The sequence below is a fragment of the Homo sapiens genome, chromosome 11 (assembly GCF_000001405.40).
Source record: "Homo sapiens chromosome 11, GRCh38.p14 Primary Assembly".
Taxonomy (NCBI): domain Eukaryota; kingdom Metazoa; phylum Chordata; class Mammalia; order Primates; family Hominidae; genus Homo; species Homo sapiens.
This window is the reverse complement of record NC_000011.10, coordinates 108,657,196-108,679,870: the sequence shown is the minus strand read 5'-3', so window position 1 is coordinate 108,679,870 and position 22,675 is coordinate 108,657,196. Positions and strand designations below refer to the sequence as shown.

At 40.4% G+C, this 22,675-nt stretch overlaps 1 protein-coding gene across 1 annotated transcript in view, besides 1 other annotated feature; it reads right to left on the bottom strand.

Annotated features, from left to right (window-relative positions):
* Positions 1-6,512: part of a mitotic recombination region, noted in NCBI's record as "NUP98-DDX10 recombination region recombines with the NUP98 intron 12 (DDX10) recombination sub-region of the nucleoporin 98kDa recombination region", that runs on past the window's edge. NCBI's record gives the evidence for it as "EXISTENCE:Southern hybridization evidence [ECO:0000078][PMID:9166830]".
* The window catches only part of DDX10 (DEAD-box helicase 10), a 275,859-nt gene extending 261,057 nt beyond the window's left edge, over positions 1-14,802 (bottom strand). The window contains exons 1-6 of the mRNA NM_004398.4: positions 14,532-14,802; positions 6,344-6,404; positions 4,145-4,275; positions 2,628-2,786; positions 1,436-1,556; positions 311-500 (exon numbers count right to left, since the gene is read on the bottom strand). Coding sequence (NP_004389.2) covers positions 311-500; positions 1,436-1,556; positions 2,628-2,786; positions 4,145-4,275; positions 6,344-6,404; positions 14,532-14,717 — 848 coding nt within the window. The 5' untranslated portion in view covers positions 14,718-14,802. The remainder of the gene's footprint in view (positions 1-310; positions 501-1,435; positions 1,557-2,627; positions 2,787-4,144; positions 4,276-6,343; positions 6,405-14,531) is intronic.

Sequence of the window (22,675 nt, the reverse complement as noted above, 5' to 3'; positions counted from 1 at the left end):
GCTATTTCATCCCTTCTCCCTTCGTTTATTAAGAGGTAGTGTTGGCAAATGGTAAAATACCTCTTAACATCTATGGAAAAACATTTGTTCCCCTCCCAGACCACATTTTGGGAAATGCTACATTCAAGTACCCTGACATTTAAAGATATATGCAGAATTTGGGTAATTTTAACTGGTATATTTACTATGCTTTGCATAACCAATAACTCATAGAATGTCTTAATTCCCAGAAAACAGATATTTAAAATACCAAATCCCTAAACTAAAAAAGTAAAAAACATTTATCTTGATTGACTCAAAGAGTACATACCTATATTTTGCTTTTTCATGAACCCAGACATACTCAGGGTTTTTCAAACTCAAGCGTGCAAGGTCCTTTACAGATTTAGTTTGTGTTGCTGAGAAAAGTAAAGTCTGACGTTTCTTGGGGAGATTTTCAATAACAGCATTCATGGTATCAGCAAAGCCCATATCCAAGATTCTATCTGCTTCATCAAGAACTGAAAAAGGAAAATGCAAGTTGAACTATCATATGTAAAATATACATTAGGCTAAATGCAATGGGTATCCTGGATTGGATCCTAAAACAGAAAAAGAACATTAGCGGAAAAACTGGTAAAACCTGAATAAAGTCTGGAATTTATATGATGTAGCAATGTTAACCTTAGTTTTGATAAAAGTACCATGTCATGTAAGACATTAACACCAGGGGAAGGCTGGGCACAGTGGCTCAGGCCTGTAATCCCAGCACTTTGGGAGGCCAAGGTGGGCAGATCACAAGGTCAAGAGGTCAAGACCATCCTGGCCAACATTGTGAAACCCCGCCTCTACTAAAAATACAAAAATTAGCTGGGCGTGGTGGTGCACACCTGTAGTCCCAGCTATCGGGAGGCTGAGGCAGGAGAATCACTTGAACCCATGAGCCGAGATCATGCCACCGTACTCCAGCCTAGCAACAGAGCGAAACTCTGTATAAAAAAAAAAAAAAAAAAAAAAAAAATTAGGGGAAACCAGCTGAAGGATAATGCAGGAACTCTCCACTGCAACTTTCCTACAAATCAAAAATGTTCAAAGATAAAGTTGATTTAAAAATACACATCAGGTAGTATTCCCAAGCAAAAAAGAAAAAGTTCATTTAAAAAAATGCCAATTTGACCTTTCAAGTTATTAGAAGCAGGTGTTAAAAACCTTGGCATGGTCTAATACTAACGTGCCTAATTTCACATATAAGCGTACATACATTCTTCTGATTTTTTTAAGTCTACTTTTACTTTCTGGGTTTAGAGCCCAAATGCCAAAATGTTTCAGTAATTTTTAAGTTTGTTTTGAATCATAACATTTATCTAACATAAAATTTCTATCATAAAAATGTATAAGGGCTCTCTCCTAAGTCTGAGCTTTTTTTTTTTTTAAATTAGAAATTGATTTGACTCACCTAACATTTGGAGGTCGGTAGCATGAAAAGATACTGTTTCATCCATGTGTTGAAGAAGCCGACCTGGTGTGCACACGAGTATATTTATGTTGTTGATCCTCTCAGCTTCGTGTTTTAGATCCTGAAAACAGTTATTTATTTTGATTACACAGACACATCACTCTCAGCAGCCTGTGTACCAAAGCTATAAAAGCCATCTGCATGGGCATTTCATCACAACATTTTAGATACTCTTGGAAATAAACATAACTTTTCCCTTGTATTTCTGAACCATATCCACATTTCTGGGCTAAATAAAAGTCTTTACAGGAAGACATAAGGAGCTCAGAGTTCTAAATTCTTATTCATACCCAGGATTTTGAGGCTAAGAAAAAAAAATAATCAAATGAATACTCCAAGTCAGGATTTCCTATTTGGATCAGAACTGACATAAACTGGAATCACTCTCATTCTTTAATTCAGGACCCAGGGACATTGAACAGACTCTGACACCGCTCAAGGACTGTACTTTGTGAACTGAAAAAAGCCGAGGTTCTCTCCTTGATACAAGAACCACTTCTCACAGTCCTGGAGGCGGTGGGAAAAAACAGAATGTTGTTAATTGTTAAAGTTAGGCAACAGGTACGTAAGGGTTTGTGATGCTATTCTTTCTTCTTTTGTGCATGTTTGCATAAAAATTGAAGTATTTATCCTCACAGTCTAGTGGAGATTCTAGCAGATAGAGGCATTCTAGATGTGCTATAAGATAGAACAAAAGTGAGCAGCAGGTCTTATCTTGACCTACTATAAACATTCCTCTAAAGAGTCTACCTTCCTTTCTTACGCTGCTGATGTAGCAATCCTCTGAATTATTCAGCCTCTTAGATAGATACCTTATTAAAAGGTACTAGTTCATATATGGAAATATCTTTCCCAATGAATATCAACAAATAACTTTACAGGATTAGAGTAAATATGTCTTAGAGAGGCTAATCAATTCAGATTCCCCGACAAAAAAAAATGGACTTTCTGGGCCTGCAAAATTGGCAACCAGATCGTAGATAGCAGCGACCACACCAAGTGCTACTATCCCATGAGGCCCTGGTCTAGGTCAGTCTGTTTAGATGAAGTCTCTGCTGCCTCCCTGTCATCGGCCACAGTACTCCAGTATAGGTTACAGAAGGAAAGGAAGGACATAGACAAAAGGACAAACCTTTCCACCAATGATGAGACCAGCTGAGAAGTCATGATTCTTTCCTACTTTTCGGAGAACCTCAAAGGTCTGATAGGCCAGTTCTCTCGTAGGTGATATTATGAGAACCCCCAGCCCATCTGTTGAAGTCCATTGCAGACGATATAAGGCTTCCAGCACCTCAAAAAGACAGCAAATTCATGTTCAGTAAGTCATCAGAAGTCAGCTTTTTGACCTGCATCTCAACCTTGCCCCTCCAAATCAAAGGGATCTTCCAAGCAGAAGGCATACCACTCAAGTTTTATCCAGTCCAAAGTAAATGATTTTGTTTATCTTCCATCAGAACCATCCACCCCCAACTCAGAGGAAAGGGAAAAGAAACCCCACGGTAGTTCAGCTGCTGCCAGAGCCATGCCATCAGGAAACTGGCTATCAGTGAAAGGTATGTACAACCCAAAGACCTTTACAACACACTTAAGAATAATATTTATCATTTTCTAAATAACCACACTAAAACTTTTGGCTGGGCGCAGTGGCTCACGCCTGATCCCAGAACTTTGGAGGAGGAGGCGGGTGCATCACTTGAGGTCAGGAGTTCAAGACCAGCCTGACCAATATGATGAAACCCCGTATTTACCAAAAATACAAAAATCAGCTTGGCGTGGTAGCCCACATCTGTAATCTCAGCTACTTGGGAGGCTGAGGCAGAAAGAATCGCTTGAACCTGGGAGGCAGAGGTTGCAGTGAGCCAAGATTGCACCACTGCACTCCAGCCTGGGCAACACAGCATGACTTCATCTCAAAAAAAAATAAAAATAAGTAAATAAACTTTCACCCATGTAGCTGCTGTAGTTATATAGTAACTGAATTATCTAGCTATAGGGAGCCTTTTTTTTTAAGGGGGCAAAAACACACTAGGATTTAAGAGAAAAGTGGTTTTTGCAATATTTGGAACAAAAACTAAAATGAGATTTTTCTGGGTCATTTTATAGGAATGAAAAATTAGGAGACCAACGTAACAGAGATGGAAGTGAAAGCCTAAGAAGCTCTACTGTTTTGCTGCCATAAAAGACCGATAGCAATGTCCCAGAAAATTCTCAACAAATGCCTAAAGCTCCTTAAACTGAGCATATTTCAGCTTTATCCTAAACAAGGTGGCAAGTATAAATGCCACTGGCAGGCTCACAAGGGTGAGAGCAGAAACTGTCTCCCACCAGTCCTACTGCAGCACAGAACCACTTTAACCTGCCATACTGGAGCACTCCACTTCCATCAAGAATGTAATGACTTGTCAAGGCACAATAGTTCATTCATTCAGTAAGTTATTGAGTGCCTGCCACATGCAAGGCACTGTGCTAGAACCTGGGGAAAATGGTGAGAACAAGACACACATGTGGCTCCTGTTTGATGAAGCTCGCATTCTAGCCAATCTATCATGAAATCTAACATGAAAACATCTCTTTATATAATCTGCATCTGGGCACAGAATGTTATAAAATTGTATAACAGACAGTCTGACCCAATGACAATGTACTTACTGGAACAAGAAAAGCCAGAGTCTTGCCAGATCCAGTTTTGGCCGCTCCAAGTACATCTTTACCTTGCAAAGCCAATCCAATGGTCTGCTTCTGTATCTCAGTCACCAAACGGTACTGAGCTTCTTGCAAACCTGGCAACATGGAGGGAAGAATTATACTTTAGAAGATCCCTGTAGGATGGTATTATAGGCTAAGTGAGTTGTGTCCCCCAAAATTCCTATGTTGAAGCCCTAATGCCTCGTACCTCAGAACATAACTATACTTGGAGACAGGGCCTTTAAAGAGGTTGATTAAGTTAGAGCCCCATAGGGGTGGACTCTGATCCAACACAAACGGTGTCTTTATGAGAAGAAACTTGAACAAAGAGACACCAAGGGTCCACATGCACAGAGGGAAAACCATGTGAAGAGAGACAAGTTATTCTGTGATCCACCTACTCCACTCCTGGGTATAATCCAAAGGGTTTATTAATAAAACCACTACTTTGAAAAGTATTTGTGCTCACATGTTCATTGCAGCATTATTCACAGAAGCCAAGATATGAAATCAACCTAAGTGTCCATGAATGAGTAAAGAAAATATATGTTATATACATACACATACACACACACACACACACACACACACACACACACACAAATGGAATATGACTCAGCCTTTAAAAAGGAAATCCTGTTATTTACAACAACATGGATGAACCTGGAGGACCTTATGTTAACTGAAATAAACCAGGCACAGCAATAAAGATGCCACATAATCTCACTTATATGTAGAATCTAAAAAAGCCAAATTCAAAGGAGCAGAGGGTAGAATGGTAGTTACCAGAAGCTGGGGGAAGTAAGGAGAGTGGGAAGATGTTCATCAAACATACAAAATTTCAGTTAGAAGGAAGAACTTCAAGAGATCTATTGTAGGCCAGGCGTGGTGGCTCACGCCTATAATCCCAGCACTTTGGGAGGCCAAGGCAGGCAGATTCCTTAAAGTTCAGGAGCTCAAGACTAGCCTGGGCAACATGGCAAAACTCTATCTCTACCAAAAATTTTTAAAAATTAGCCAGGCACAGTGGCATGCACCTGCAGTTCCAACTACTCAGGAGGCTGAGATGGGAGGATCACTTGAGCCCAGAAGGCTGAGGATGCAGTGAGCTAAGATCACACAACTGCACTGCACCCTGGGTGACGGAGCAAGACCCTATCTTAAAAAAAAAAAAGAGAGATCTATTATATATCTCTCTTAATATATACTGCTATAGTTAATTAAAATATACTGAAAAAAGAAAAAATACTAAGTAGATTTTAAGAGTTCTAAACACAAAAGGATGAGGTAATATTAGCACATATACAATTAGTTTGATTTAGCCATTCCACAGCATATACATATTTCAAAGCATCATGTATACACTGTAAATATATACAATTTTTTTTTTTGAGACGGTGTCTCACTCTGTTGCCCAGGCTGGAGTAGAGTGGCATGAACCCGCCTCCCAGGTTCAAGTGATTCCCCTGCCTCAGCCTGTAGCTGGGATTACAGGTGCCCGCCACCACACCCAGCTAATTTTTGTATTTTTAGTAGAGACGGGGTTTCACCATGTTGGCCAGGCTGGTCTCAAACTCCTGACCCTGTGATCCACCCACCTCGGCCTCCCAAAGTACTGGGATTACAGGCATGAGCCACCACACCTGGCCAAATATATACAATTTTTATGTATCCAAAAATAAAAAGGCAGCAAGAGGGCAGCCATCCACAAGCCAAGGAGGCCTGGAACAAATCCTTCCCTTATTTTGCCTTAAGAGGAAACCAATGCCACCAACATCTTGATCCCAGACTTCCAACTTCCAGAACTGTGAGAAAATCAGTCTCTGTTGTTTAAGCCACTCAGTCTGATATTTTGTCATCTCAGCCCTAGCAAACAGATACAAAGGGTGTTGCATCTTGGTTTGTTCCCTTGCTTATTTTAACTAACAAAATTAGATTTCATTTTATTCAGAGGATGCTGGAAACTTGTTTTTCTTTTAATTAGTCCAGAAAGAATGAGAATAACGTACTGTTAAAACTTGAATATTGCTTATTTTCATTGGTTTTCATGATATCAAAATTTGCCAAAATAAGATTTTTCAGGCTAAACCCTCTAAATCTTCTCCCATTTATCAAAAATGCCAAGAAATCCAATAACACATCCCAAGATCACCATATACTTACCTTTCAATGTTTTTTTGGACAAGGGAAAATCTGAAAATCTTGTGATTTCATTTACATTTATCTGGAAAAAAAGAAAAAGGAATCAGGGTAACTCATTTGTTTCACGACACAGCCATTTCTTCTCTACATTGTATTGCCCAGCTCATCCTTGGTAATTCAGGGTTGAATTCAATCATCGCTTCTAATTAAAAGCCATCATTCCTTCTGTAACGAAATATGCCCTGAAGAGGCTGTCCCTGAATCGAATATACATTTGTAAGCATTTCAATTGGTAAGGAAAAAAAAGTCACCCAATACACACACACCACACATACTACTATCTGACCTCCAAAATGTTGAACACAGTAAAGCATCACCAACCACATCAATTTTAGGAAGAAAATTTACTTCCTATCATCCTTCAAGGGATCTCAATTTAAGAAACAAGGACAAAATTACCACAAACCACAGATCACAATGAAAATAGTTCTATACACACAATTTGGAAAAAAGAGTGAAATTAGTTGGAGAAATATTTCTTGTTAGCACAATCCTTTCAAAGTTTTAACCATAAATCAGTGGCCTATGAAATCCAACCTGATAACTATTCATTTTGGGGTTACTGAAGGAGGAGTATTATTTCAACACAGGGGAAATGTCTGTCATGCTTTGAAGCCACAATAAGTAACATTTTGCTAACTTTACATTATTCAAATATTCATTACTGATGTTCTTTATTAGCACAAACCCAATTTTCTGAATTTCATTTCAGCTGCTCAGGAGAATTATTTTATTACAGATGCTGAAGGCAGGAACTACTGCTCAGTTCTGGAAATATGCTGCCAAATTATACATGATTCGCAAAAGGAAAAAGCTGCATTTGTATGGTTCATTTATTTAAATTACACTCTAGGCAGTAAAAGGATGACAGTTGTACTTCATTTTACAATCTACACATCTTTCCTATGATTCTTAACATTGCCCAGGCAGTGTTTACTCTGTGCCCTCCAATGCTGAAAATACAAATATTAAAACATTGTCTTAATCCCTACAAATCATTTCAGATATCACTGGAAAGGAGGCAGAATCAGTGTACCAGCATTAGAAGAACGGTTTATTCAAATAACATACTGTCCCAGCAAGGAACCTCAATTAGAAGATAATCTTCCAAACAAGGCATTAAAATTAGGTGTAGCTCACTCTAGCACTCGTGGTATTATCAGCTAAAAAGCTGTTTTCAAAGGGAATGGAATGCCTACAGAAGGAGGCAGGCTGCCAACACACTCTTCAATCCCCAGCAAGAGACACAGTACAGGCAAAGCGAGCTCCTCAAACAAAACATTGCACAGCACATCTATCTTCCTAAAGTCAGTTAACCTCCTGGAGGGAAAGTTTAGAAGAATGAAACTGCTCCAACACTCTTCAATCAAGCATTACAACAGAAAACTATATACCATATTCCTTTTTTTTTTTTTTTTTTTTTTTTCCGAGATGGAGTCTCGCTGTGTCGCCCAGGCTGGAGTGCAGTGGCGCGAACTTGGCTCACTGCAAGCTCCACCTCCCGGGTTCACGCCATTCTCCTGCCTCAGCCTCCCAAGTAGCTGGGGCTACAGGCGCCCACCACCACGCCCAGCTAATTTTTTCTGTATTTTTAGTAGAGACGGGGTTTCATCGTGTTAGCCAGGATGGTCTTGATCTCCTGACCTCGTGATCCACCCGCCTCGGCTTCCCAAAGTGCTGGGATTACAGGCGCCATATTCTTTAAAAGAAGACGAAGAAAAGGAACTTTTGATTCTGTTGATGTTCTAAAATAGGGCCCAGCAAACTACAGCCTACGGGCCAAATCCAATTTGCTGCCTATTTTAGTAAGTAAAGTTTTATTCGAGCACAACTACAATAATTCATTTATTTATTGTCTATGTAGTTGTTGCGGAGACTGTATGGACCATAAAGCCTAACACAGACTATCCAGCCCTTTACAGAAAAAGAGTTTGCTGACCCTGCTCTAGATATTCTGTTATATTCCAAGGATTACATAGCAGCCACAGCAGGAGATGGCTACGGTTCCTACAAAGAAAATAACCCAGCCAGGCACGATGGCTCACGCCTGTAATCCCAACACTTTGGGAGGCCAAGGCAGGCGGATCACCTGGGGTCAGGAGTTCAAGACCAGCCTGGCCAACATGGCGAAACCCTGTCTCTACTAAAATTATAAAAATTAGCCAGATGCAGTGGCGTGCGCCTGTAATCCCAGCTACTTGGGAGGCTGAGGCAGGAGAATCGTTTGAACCCAGGAGGCAGAGGTTGTGGTGAGCAGAGATAGAGCCACTGCACTCCAGCCTGGGCAACAGAGCGAGACTCTACCTCAAAAAAATAACTCTTTCTCCTTCCCTTTATCCCTTTCTTAGGGGGGAAAAATCACTTACATCTCCATAATACTCATACTCAGTCTACAAATCTGTCTCACTATTCTTCTGAATTCAGGGAAGAGATATTTCAGGGATGGTCCTTATTAAAGGCTTCCCACGGCTGTTGGAAAAGTTGAAAAGCGGAGGAGAAAAGGGTGACATTTGACCATCCTCTTATACTTCTCACAACTCTCTGGTAATGCCTATTTCTCGCTAAAGTGAATAATGCCTGATGAAAAAAGCATTGAAACGCCCTAGAATGCTCCACCTGTTGCCGTCAAGAGAAGAACAGCAAACCGCCTCAACTACACCAGACCAAATTTTGATTTAAAAAAAAAAAATCAGGATTTGAATGCAGTTTCTATGCAGTACAGCTGATTACAGTCTAAATGAATCCCAGATGCAAAGAGTCATTCAGCAATAGTAAAAACAGCTGCTGAACTAACACAGCTAGCTCAACATTTCTCAGTGAGCCTCAATCCCCAGTTTTCCAGCAGCCCCTCCAACACACACCACCCCTTAGAAATACACCACCCTCCTGCTGTGAGAAGCATAGTTGACTGACAATGCCAGCTGTGCCTCCTCTAGACCCACCATGGAAAAGCCATGCTTCCCCCGGGCTGCTCCTAGTCAATGGCGGGGCTCAGCAGTGCTACTGCAGGCCCGGGGATTCCTCTGATGGACAATTTTGGATCAGTGACTCCCCATCAGCCTGGCTGAATCTTTCTTGGAACTGTGCTGCAGTCTGAGACTCTTCCTACCTTCCTACCTGCTGCTCCTTCCATCCTTCTCTCCTTTCCCTCCCTACTCCTGTTCCCTCTCCTTCAGCCTTCACGGACATTCCCCCTCCTGTGCCTGTAACCCCTAAAGCTCCAGTTCACCCAATCCCATTTTGTCATCTGCCTCTCAAAGGACCCAAGACCTAGACTCTACCAATAGTCTCCAGTCTCCTACCTGATCTCTTACCCTCCAACCTTTACAGCTCAGATATATTCTCTCTATACAGAGTCCCGCCACATACTTCCCATGGCTTCCAGATAAAGTCTTTGAGCATGGCCTCTGTATAAATTTCCTACTGTTACTGTAATAAATTACCACAAATAGTGGCTTAAACCAACACAAATATATTACCTTAGAGCTCTGGAGGTCAAAAGTCCACAATAGGTTTCGCTTGGCTAAAATCTAGGTGGCAGCAGGGCTGCGTTATTTTCTGATGACTCTACGGCAGAGTCCATTTCCCCGCCTTTTCCAGCTTCTAGAGGCTGCCCACATTCCTAGGTGGTGACCCTCTTCTGTCTTTAAAGTCAGCAACAGACTCCAAGTCTTTCTCACATCACGTCATTCTGACACTGACTCTTCCGCCTCCCTCTTCCACATCTAAGGACACCTGTGATTACATTGGGCCCACCTAATCCAGGATAATCGCCCTACTTTAAGGTCAGCTGATTAGCAACCTTAATTACCCCTTACCATCTAACATATTCACAGGTTCCAGGTATTAGGATGTGGACACTTTAAGAAGCCATTATACTGCATGCTGCAGCCTCCAATGTCATCACAGTCCAACCTTCTTCTCGAACCCATCTGAAGCCAACTCAGGAATGCATCCAACACTCCAAGGAGCATTTCCTCCCTCAAAGAATGCCATGCATTTTCACCTCTCTGTATTTCCCCATGTTCCCTCCACCTAGAACATCCTTGCCAATCTTTTCTATCTGATGAACTCATCATTCAAGAACTAGCTCCACCAGGCACAGTGGCTCACACCTGTAATCCCAGCACTTTGGAATTACAGGTGGGCAGTTCGCTTGAGCACAGGAGTTCAAGACCAGCCTGGGAAATACAGTAAGACTCCATCTCTACAAAAATTACCAAAAAAATTAGCCAGGCCTGGTGGCATGCACCTGTAGTCCTAGCTACTCAGGAGGCTGAGTTGGGTGGGTCACTTGAGCCCAGGAGGTCAAGGCTACAGTGAGCCATGATGGTGCCACTGTACTCTAGCCTGGGTGATAGAGTGAGACTCCATCTTAAAAAAAAAAAAAAAGCTTAGCTCCACTCTTGGCAACTGCAAACCACTGGACAGTTTGTATGCACCACAATGAAATCTGCTAAGACTGAGATGCAGGGGATGAAATCCAGCCCACATCAGCTCCCCAAGCCAGACGTGAGGCTGCAACCACCAGGAGGAAGGGAAGCATACCCAGAAGAAGCATGTTTTTTGTAATGCATCTGACCAGAAGGAGCTCAGTATAGGATAACTCAACTTCCCCTAATTACACCATCCTCTAACTCCACAGCACTGAGGTACATGTTACAAACTTACTATTATAACATTTTATGCATACTAATATAACGTGTCAAACTGTATCAACCCCTACATGCCCAGGTTCCCTAGGGACTTGGGCACGTATTTTTTTTCCATATATACTCACACCCGCCTAGACAAGTGCCTGTCAAATTGTTTTAAAAGGTTTCGGAATCAAATTGTTCAGTAGTTCACCAGTGAGGCTACTGAGCACCACCTGTGTACCATGGCTATGTAGTAAGTTTTATGTACAATGCTACCACCTGAGGAGCCACATAGTGAGGGCCTGCACCTTGTTTACCTAGAGAATGATAATCCTGCTATTCAAATAATTATATCCTAGTATTGCTAACCTTGACAACTGATTTCACACTGCATTTATTTCTCAACCAAATCTTAAGAAAATATTTCTAAAATTAAAGAAGTAAAACAGAACAATGCTTAGCGGGGGAAAAAGCTGCTCCTTCAACAATGAAACAAATGGGATTTAAATAAATGCAATGCAGTAAAGCCTACTGGTTTGGTGCACTGGTATCAGACTACCTGGCTTAGAACTCCTTTTTCACTTCTTAGCTGTTTAACCTTACACAAATTATTTAACCTTGCTGTGCCTTAAAGTTGTCTCACCTGTATAATGGGAACAATTTCACAGGGTTATTTGTGGTGAGTATACGGAAAGCCAGCATGAATAAAAGTTTGATAAATGTTCACAATTACAAGAAACAAAAAAGAATAATCCAATGCTGCCAACCAGAGCAAAGCCACCTGGGAAAGGTCTAGTCTTACAGCAAACAACATCTAAACACTGACTGAGCACCTATTCAAGGACAAGCACTGTGCTACCAGACTCTGGGGAGTGCAAAGACGAGTGTATCACTGGTTGCTGACCTTGAATGTTCATGGTCTAGTAGGAGAGTTTTTTTAAAAAAGTTAAAGAAGCCAATCATCGCAGACAGTTGATAAATGTTGTCATAAAGGTATCTACAAAATGCTACAGATGCACAGTAGCCCTAACTCGGTCAGGGGAGGTGATGAAGAGAAGTTTGCACTAAATCTTGAAGGAAGAGTACCTTTCCTTAGAGTGGGCAGATGGGTATGCTCACTGCACACAGTGGAAACATCAAGTACCAGGATGAGAAGCACAAGAAGCATGTACAATTCACAAAACTGCAAGCTGTTCCTTCATATATGCCTATCATGTACCACTTGGTGTATACACATTATCTCATTTGGGCCTTACAACACTCTGGGTGGCTAATAACTTCGGTTTTTTGAAAGAAGAAACTGAGACTTAGAGGGATGAAGAAACCTGGCTAGCCAATACCTGAAGAGTGAGATTTAAACCAGGTCAGCCTGACCACAAATAACTTACTCTGCAGCAGACTAGAACATGTTGACACGCTGTATTTGACAATTTTTCTAAAAGTAACTGTGAGCCAAGGAAGGGTTCTAATCGGCAGTAAAATGATTAGATCTTCATCTTGGAAAGAATCATTCTAGCAGAAGTACAGAGGACAAATTAAAAGGTTTAAGGCCTAGGGGACAAAGCCCATCAGCCACCTGTTTCACTAATTAAAGTTTTACTGAAAAACAACACCCATTCATTTAAGTATTTCTATGGCAGCTTTTGTATTACAAGGGAACAATTGAGTAGTTCCACCCTTAGGACTACAAAGCTGAAAACATTCACTATCATTTACAGAGAAAGTTTGCTGATCCCTGTTGAAAGCAATATTTACTATAGTAATCCAGGCAAGAGATGATGGGGACTGAAGACAATGCAGTAGGGATGAAGAAGCATTTGAAAAATGTAAGCAGAACAGATCAGCAGTGTGACCGACTGGATATAAGAGTAGGTAAGAGAGAAGTAGCTAAGACTGCTCCTAGGTTTCTAGCTCTACGGTCTGCTGAGATGGTGGAGCTAGGATGTGGTGCTGAAAATGATCCCAACTCATGTCCATGTATTAACTTCTGGAAGGGATGAATGTTACCTTACATGGCAAAAGTGACTTTTCAGATGTGATTAAATTAAAGATCTTGGGATGGGGTGATTATCCTGGATTATCTGTGTAGGCCCTAAACGCAATCGTAAGCGCCCTTATAACAGAGGAACAGAGATAGACTGACACAGGAGAAGGCAGAGACTGGAGTTATGCAGCCACAGGCCAAGGAATGCCAGCAGCCACCAGAAGCTACAAGAGGCAGGAAACAGATTCTCCCCTAGAACCTCTGGAGGGAGCAAGTCCCTGCTGACACCTTGATTTTGGCCCAGTGAAACTGATTTCAGACGTATGGCCTCCAGAACTGTGACAAGGTAAATCTCTGTTGTTGCTGGGCTTTTTTGTTTGTTTGTTTAAGACAGAGTCTCACTCATGTCACCCAGTCTGGAGTGCAATGGTGCGATCTGGGCTCACTGCAACCTCTGCCTCCCGGGTTCAAGCGATTCTCTTGCCTCAGCCTCCCGAGTAGCTGGGATTACAGGCACCCACCACTAGGCCCAGCTAATTTTTTTGTATTTTTAGTAGAGGCGGGGTTTCACCATGTTGGTCAGGCTGGTCTCGAACTCCTGACCTCAAGATCTCTGTTGTTTTAAGCCGCCAAGTTTGTGGTAATTTGTTACAATGGCAACCTTAGTTACAAGAATGTTCCATCTGTTAAATCCCTGATTGTACTGCACTAGAAGGGGGCTGAGAAGCTGAAAGATGTGGGTGAAGACCAACAAACATGGGATTTAGGGAAAGGGAAAAGAGGAATTGACAGACCTGTGGAGTCTGGAGGTTGGGGGAAGAAGTCAGGAGGTCAAAGTGATCATTACAGGTATACTCATCTGGGAACACCAGCTACAATGTGGGGATGATAGGTGACAGAAACAGACCAGCGGTCCAGCTTTTCTAGGCCAATTCTTGGATGGGGACATGAAGCCTGTGGAGAAAATGAGGTGGCCACAGGAAGGAGCATAGATGATGTTGAGGGATGCAGTCTGGCTTCATGGTTAAAAGCAAAGGCTTTGGGATTAGAAAGACATGGATCTAGCTTCCAATTCCACACCACCTACTAAGCGTGAAAGATTCGGACAAGTTTCATTCCTCTTAGAACCTCAATTATCTCATCTGTTAAATAGGATTATTAATATCCATACCTCAGATCAAGTCAAACAATTACTGTAAGCACATGGTGAGTGCTTAAAAATGTAGGTGTCATTATTACCACTATTGTCATCAGTATTATTAATATGAATATGACTGTAGCTATTACAGCATTAGTCTCCCTACCCTTAGGTACGGCCGCATTTCTATTATTTTTTTAGGAACAGTGTGGCAAGCAGAAGAGTGGCCAGAACGGTGCAGAGGTTTGAGCTGTGGCACCCGGCGTGACCTCTCATTCCCGGCCGGGTCCCGGTGACAGATCCGCCGCCTCCACTCTGCAACTCCTCGCCGCAGTGAGACGCTGCCCCGCTGCTGGCCGGCCCGAGCCCCCTCCCCAGCGCCGGCCTCACCTTTTCATAGTTCTGCATGAGGCGGCTGATACTCTCGCGCTCGACCTGCCATTCGGGTTTCTTCAGTTGCTTCCTCAACTGCTTCTTTTTGTTCTGCCTATGGCTGTGTTTTTTCTTCCAGCGATTGAAGCTCCGCACCGGGTCGGGTCGGGCTCCCGAACCCGGAGAGTTGGCCGTTTTGCCCATTGCGGCGGCGGCGGCGACAGCTCGGATCAACCCCAGACACGAGACACCTAAGGCCAGACTCACGGAACCAGCATGGGACAAACGCACAGAGGCGCATGCGCGAACTCAGAAGCCCGCCCCCGAGCTTTTGAAACCGGGGCACGCGCCAATGACGTCAGGAAAAGGAGGGCTGTGATTGGCGAATTGGCTCCTGCTGGGAGGGGCAGCCTGGGGAAACGGGGGCGCAGCACTCCACGGAAGGGGGCGAGCTGAGCCGAGCCGGGAGCACGCCGGCTCTTTAAAAAAAAACGCATGCGCACTGTTGTTGTTACTATGGTGACGTCATACACTGACCCTTTAAGGGCTATTAACACATTTGCTCCAGGTTCAACTTTGCTAAGCGTTCGTGAGTATGTGTGTAAACACATACAATCTGTGAATGAAAATTGTGACCCTCGTTTTGCACTTTTCGGGCCAACGAGCCAAAAGATTTGCCCAGAAGTAAACAGCTAGTTAGTGACTTCTGATTTCCATCCATGGTGGTTGTACTTCCTCAGGAATAAAAATGAATATTCTATATTCTTCTTATGCCCCTCTGGGTTTTCCTTTTCCTCTGGGCCCCTCAGACTCTAGCTGCAACAGCAAGGAAACTGGAACGGAATCAAATTGAATTTGCCTTAAAATGCTTTTATGGAGACAAAATGATAACTAAACGTAAGGAGGTAGGTAATAGAGGCCGGGCACGGTGGCTCACGCCTGTAATTCCAGCAATTTGGGAGGTCGAGGTGGGTGGATCACCTGAGGTCAGGAGGTCGAGACCAGCCTGGCCAATATGGTGATGCCCTGTCTCTGCTAAAAATACAAAAATTAGCCAGGCGTGGTGGTGCACACCTATAATCCTAGCTACTTGGGAGGCTGAGGCAGGAGAATCGCTTGAACCCCGGGGGCGGAGGTTATAGTGAGCCAAGATCGCCCCACTTCACCACAGCCTGGGTGAAAGAGTGAAACTCCGTCAAAAAAAAAAAAAAAAGGAGGTAATAGAAAAGTTATTGCAAGTTGGACATTTAAGTGAACTGGCTTTCAATGAATTGAATTTTTTGACACATTTACCTACAGCCTCCAGGAAAACACCGGATGTGGGTGGGAGAGCTTAGCTGTAGCAAAGGAGATTGGAAAATTGAGTTCAAAGTTCACAGGCAGAATTTTGGGCTCTCAAATTTCCTTTCCAACCCCACATATCCAGATCACTACTCTCAACTCTATGCCCATCCTCCAAACAAGACATGGCTTATTGGAAGGGAGTGAGGACAGGAGGTGAACAAGAGAATTTCCACACTCAGGAACACTAGATGTGGTAGACAGTAAAGCTCAATAAGGAGTGATTACATGAAAGTGTATATACATCCTCAAAAAATTAAAAATAGAACTCCACGTGAGCCAGCAATTTCACTTCTGGGTATGCATAGCCAAAATAATCGAAAGCAGGGTCTCAGATATTTGCATACCGTGTTCACCACAGCACTATAGCTAAAATGTGGAAGCAACCCAGGTGTCTATCAACTGATGAATGAGTAAACAAAACATAATATGTACCTAAAATGGAATATTATTCAGCCTTCATAAAGAAGGAATTTCTGACACATGCCACAACGTGGATAAACTTTAAGAATATTAAGCTAAGTGAAATAAGCCAGTCACAAAAGGACAAATACTATATATGGTTCTATTTATATGAGAAACTTAGAGTTGTCAAAATAATAGAGAAAGTAGACTTGTGGTTGCCAGGGACTCAGGCAACCAGGGGGTTACTGTTTAATCAGTGCAGAGTTCCAGTTTGGTAAGATGAAAAGAGTTCTGCAGATTGGTTGCACAACAATGAGAATGTAATTAATGCAACTGAATTGTATACTTACAAATGGCTAAAATGGTAAATTTTATGTGATGTGTATTTTACTACATATGTATACCACATATGCATACCTACAGAACGATAAGGCCCTCAGCTATAACTCACTTTTTTCCTAAAACTGTAGGAGTCAGGCATATATGCGCCCCAGGCAAGAAACTGGAAGGTTCAACTCTAGGAAAACTGAATGTCCAAGAGAAAGACCTCAATAACATCTAGGGGCCAGGCACGGTGGCTCATAGCTATAATCCCAGCACTTTCTGAGGCCAAGGTGGGAGGATTGCTTGAACCCGGAAGTTCGAGACCAGCCTGGGCAACATAGTGAGACCTTGCCTGTACCAAAATTCAAAAAAATTAGCCGAGCTTGGTTGCACACACCTGTAGTCCCAGAAACTAGGGGGCCAAGGCAGGAAGTTCACTTGAGCCTACAGAAGTCAAGGCTGCAGTAAGCCCTGATACTGCCACTGCACTCCAGGCTGGGTGACAGAGCCAGACTCTGTCTCAAAAAAAAAAAAACAAAAACAAAAACAAAAAGAGAGAGAAAGAAAAAAGACATTTTGGCAGCAGCCAAATAAATGACAACTCACTAACCACCCCATTGCTCTTTAGTGAAACTTATCAGTTAATAAGCCCTCCATTCACTCATTTCTACTCAGCCTTATTCTTAAATATGGGCGAATAACCAAAGACCAACAAATATTTTAGGAAATCCTTTAACTTAAAAGTTGTAAGCCAAAATTAGTAAACTAATGCAGAGAGCAAAATAGGCCTTCAAAAAAAAATCACTATCAATATTCTTAGGAAAATAAGGCCTCATATCCAAGAAATAAAAACAGGGAATACTCAGAGAACAAAACAAAACTCTTCATAGAAGTCATTTTGTTTGTTAAATAAACCAAATTGTTAACATACGATAGTGGAAAATTCAAATTTTAGTCACAAGAACTCAATATCACATTCCAAAGTCATTAGGATTTAATAATTTGTGATGAAAATAGTTCATATATTGATCACTTAAAGTGACAGCTTTATGATGGTTTCTATGCTTAGTTGCTCCAATACCTTCTTTTCTGTAGAAATGACCCCTAGATAGGCTTCCAATTGTGATATTGAGGACATTAAATATGTTTTAACACATTTTAAGACTATATTCTCCACTGCCAACCAATATTCACAAAGATCCTAAAGAACTAAAAAAAAAAAAAAAAAAAAAAAAATTTGGAAATGCGCCTGGTAACTATGGCTATTGATACAAATAGAGGCAATACTCCACAGGGGAGGGAGCGTCCATACTAAAATTTAAGGAGAAAATGTAATATTTGGCTGGGCATGGTGGGTCATACCTGTAATCCCAGCACTTTGGGAGGCGGAGGCAAGTGGATCACCTGAGGTTAGGAGTTCGAGACCAGCCTGGCCAACATGGTGAAACCCTGTCTCTACTAAAAATACAAAAATTAGCCAGGCGTGCTGGCGTGTGCCTGTAATCCCAACTACTCAGGAGGCTGAGCCAGGAGAATCACTTGAACCTGGGAGGCGGAGGTTGCAGTGAGCCAAGATCGCACCATTGCACTCCAGCCTGGGTGACAAGAGAGAGACTCTGTCTCAAAAAAAAAAAAAAAAAAAGTAATACTTGTAGTTCATCATACATTGATACCCCATCTAATATTATCCATCGCTTAGTTTCTATTTGTAAGTTTTCAACAGTTTATCATCATAATTATTCAAATTGCATGTCTCAAAAACTCTGAAAAGATCATTATATTCTTTCAGTGCTTTAAAACTTTTTTAAAAGATTATCTGGTTGAGCAAGATAATAATGGTAGTGATGAGCACAACCATTGCCCGGATGTCAGTTTGTAAAACCATTTTTTCCAATCAAATGATCCAGAGCTCTTTGAAGAAATAGCTAATTCCAGGGCTGACACAAAGAAAGTACAAGAAAGCTGGAATATCTTGAAGTGCCAGAAAATAAGAAGTGCTCAAAGAATTATGGGAATGAAAAGCACAGTTCTATTTCTTGACCTAGGTGATAGGTATGAGGATATTTGCCTAATAATAGTTCAATAGACTCTACACTTGTTCTACATAGCTTTCTATAGTGGAAAAAAAACAGAATATGTAACCCCAAAATATGCCTCTTTGATAAAAAATTATTTTTTAGCTAAAGACAATTAAGAAGCAGCAAACACAGGAAGAGCTCTTCCTATCCTCCCACTTTTTTGCTTAAACAGAGGATATAAATTGCCCTTTACTGGAAACAATTCTAGTTGTCATAGCAGCCCAGAGACAGCACCAGAGGAATCTGCAAACTAATCTTACTCCATTAGTTTCTTCACATACATTTACCTTCCACGGTTTCCCATATTTGGAAGCCCAAAACTGTTTTCCTTTTTCCTGTCATTTCTCTACAAGTGTATTGTCCTTTGTTGAAGATGCTATACAAGCCAGAATTCTCAGCCACTGCTTTGAGTTACTTTCCACTGAAGTTACTCTCATGTGATGTACACTGCACACATTACTAAACTCCTTCATTTTACTCTTGTTAATCTGTCTTTTGTCACTGGGCTCTGTTCTAACTACAATTTTATGAGGTTAGAGGAAAAATTATATTTCCCTCCCCCGCCAACAATAGGAAAATAAGGCCTCATATCCAAGAAATAAGAACAGGGAATACTCAGAGAACAAAACAAAATCCTTCATAGAAGTCATTTTTGTTTGTGATATAAATCAAATCCTTAACATAAAATAGTGGAAAATTCAAATTTTAGTCATAAGAACTCAATATCACATTCCAAAGTCATTAGGTGTATTATGTTTTTTAATAAAAATGATTTAAAATATAAAATGTTCACAACAAAAAGTCATGCCAAATTGGTACTGAGCAAATACATTTAAATATAGATGTTTTCAAAAATATAACTTTGACTAGCATTTTACATGTTATCTAGACAATTTATCTGTTAAAATATCAATAATTTATGAAAGAACATTGTTTACTGCCTCTAATTGAGTATTAGTAGCAGGATAGCCTCAACTGGACTTCTACGTCATGTATTTTACAAGGGTTTCAAAATTAACCTCAGTAAATGTTAGTTTCAGTGCTTCAACAATGTTCCAACAGCTAAAAGGTAATTGTATCATTCTTGGATTATACAATATTTTCAATAGTTTAAAAACTGTCAGGTGATGGCTCACACCTGTAATCCCAACACTTTGGGAGGCTAAGGCAGAAAGATTGCTTCAGGCCAGGAGTTCAAGAGCTCCCTGAGCAACATAGCAAGACCCCATCTCTACAAAAAAATTTAAAAATTAGGCCAGGCATGGTGGCTAACGCCTGTAATCCCAGCACTTTGGGAGGTCGAGGCGGGTGGCTCACCTGAGGTTGGGAGCTCGAGACCAGCCTGACCAACATGGAGAAACACCATCTCTACTAAAAATACAAAATTAGCTGGGCATGGTGGCGCATGTCTGTAATCCCAGCTACTTGTGAGGCTGAGGCAGGAGAATAGCTTGAACTCAGGAGGTGGAGGTTGCGGTGAACCGAGATTGCACCATTGTACTCCAGGCTGGGCAACAGGAGCTAAACTCCATCTCAAAAAAAAAAAAAAAAAAAAAATTGCCAAGTGTAGTGTTGCGCACCTGCAGTCTTAGCTACTCAGGAGGCTAAGGTGGAAGGATCACTTGAGCTGAGAAGTTCAAGGTTATAGTGAGCTATGACAGCAGTACTGCACTCCAGCCTGGGTGACAGAGGGAGACGCTATTTCAAAAAAAAAGTTTAAAAAAAGAATTTAACCTTTTTTTTTTTTACCATCAAGTTTAAAGAATGCACAACAACTATGGAGTGCTCTGTAATACTTGTTGGAAATCTTCCTGTCGAAATCAATTGTGTTCTTTATGTACATAAATTGTGTTACTGTCATATCTCTGACCTTCACATTTTTAATAGTAATTATATTATCATTATTACCAGAACCAGATTTCAGTTTCCCAGATAACGATGAACAAGAAGGGACTTTATTTTTTTAAGGGAAGATTATTTTCAGTTTGCCATAACATCCTTTACCTCAAAACTGTAGCATTTCAAACTTCAGTCAGGTTATTTCTTTTCACTGTCACAATTTTTACACTGCTGTAAGAAACTTTTTTGGCATTTACTCTGAATTCAGACTTCAGTTAATCTCTTACTGCTCTTACTTTTGTGGAGAAGTAACTGAACCAAGATGGTGGTGACATGCTTTCAAGACGTTACAAGAACAGAACTACATGGTCTCAGATCAAAAGATCTCCTTCCCCTCACATTATTTTGGTTTCTAGTCTGTGTTTATAAGTAGTCTATTAAATATGTAGATCAGATGATTCCACAGTTATGTCATCTGCTAGCAAAATCTATATTCACATATAGAAATACAGGATTTTAGAAATCTATAAATCTAACAAAATTGTTATTTGTTCTATCTGGGATCTATACATGTTGTAACTAAAGCAATTGGACAATATTTTGAATTCTTGCCTTATTCGAATAATCAAATGATTTTATTCAATATGATAGTGTTAACTATTTGGTTTTATATTTTATCCTCTAAATATAAACTATTTCATAGCACCAATAACTACACATATTATACTTTTCAAATCAGGTTTGATCTTTGAATACTTAACATTTTGCTGATGTGCTTTTTCATTTTCTTTATGGTTTCTAAGAAGAGGTAATATATGCCAGCCTTTTCATCCATTTGCATAATATCGTTGATTTTTTTCATCTCCAGACAGTTTTTAATAAAGGCAGACTCCTTCAAGGTACAATGAAGTAACCAGAATCTAGTAACTTTTTACTGTTTGAAAAACTTTGTGTTTAAAAAAAAAACAAGCTCACAGAAACTTCCACCTGTGCCCTTTTTTTTAAAGATTTTCTTTTTTCGTTTCTTTTCTTTTTGGCTTGTGATAGTTTCCAACAAGAATGACCCATGTTTTAATATTCAAGTTACCTGGCCATGTACCTGAACTGAGAAAATGTTGTACAAACGTATATCCAATTTATTTCCCTTCTAATTTTTATTTAAATTCATCTCTTATGATTGACATGAAGGTAAAAAGTAAATTCCCATCCTGCTCTCAATTCTATGTTCTAATGAAACTAGTATCTTTCTCTTTTTTCTCAATATTTTCTACATTTGTGTTAAAAAATATATTCAATTATATCAAGAATATTATTTTGTTCCTCTATAATGGCTTTCTTTTTCTGTTTTCTGATTCTGTTAATTTTTAAATTTTTTTCTGATGTCTAGTAAGAAGTTATATAATAGCTTAGTATTTTATCTCAGAATTTATACAGATTTAAAGCAATATAAATGAAAAAAAGCTGTTAAATTTTAACAGTGATTTTTCACTGCTTCACTGTGAGCCAATCTGAAAACATTTCTTTAAATTTGTAGATAATTTGAGTCCACTTAAATTAATTGTTATGGGTGATACATTTGGTCTCAGTTCTGTCATAGTAATTTGTATAAAATTTTGTAAAATATATATGATGTGTTATTTTCCTATATTATCTGTTTTCTTTGGTCATCTTGATATTTTTTATTTTTGTTTTTAGAACACTGTGTGTAGTAGTTGCCTATATAATAAGTCCTTTATATGATGCTCTTATACTCCTTTTTCCTTGAGTCAGTGATACCCCTTGATTTCCATTTATTATCACTATGGAAATCCATGAGTTTATTTTCTCTTTCATTTGCATTGTCAGAGCATATTGCATTTATGCTTTATTCTTCCATGCTTACTCCACTTTGTTTAGACTTAGATCTAAAATTACATTTAATGCTCATTCTTCAACTGCCAAAGTTTTCCACATCACCTCTTGGTTCCAAGGAACTTACAGGTGCAATATTCGCTGAGGTCCTGCATGCTTTAAATTGTTTTTCAATAGCCTCAAGTTGTAAAGTTTTTAGTTTTCACTTTTTTCCCTTGAGTTTCTTTTAAAGGGTTGTTCCACTGTTGTCTTGTTTAGTGTGTTGTTGCCAAGCTGTCTGATGCCAATCTAATTTTCTTTCTTTCATAATGACCTTAATTGTTT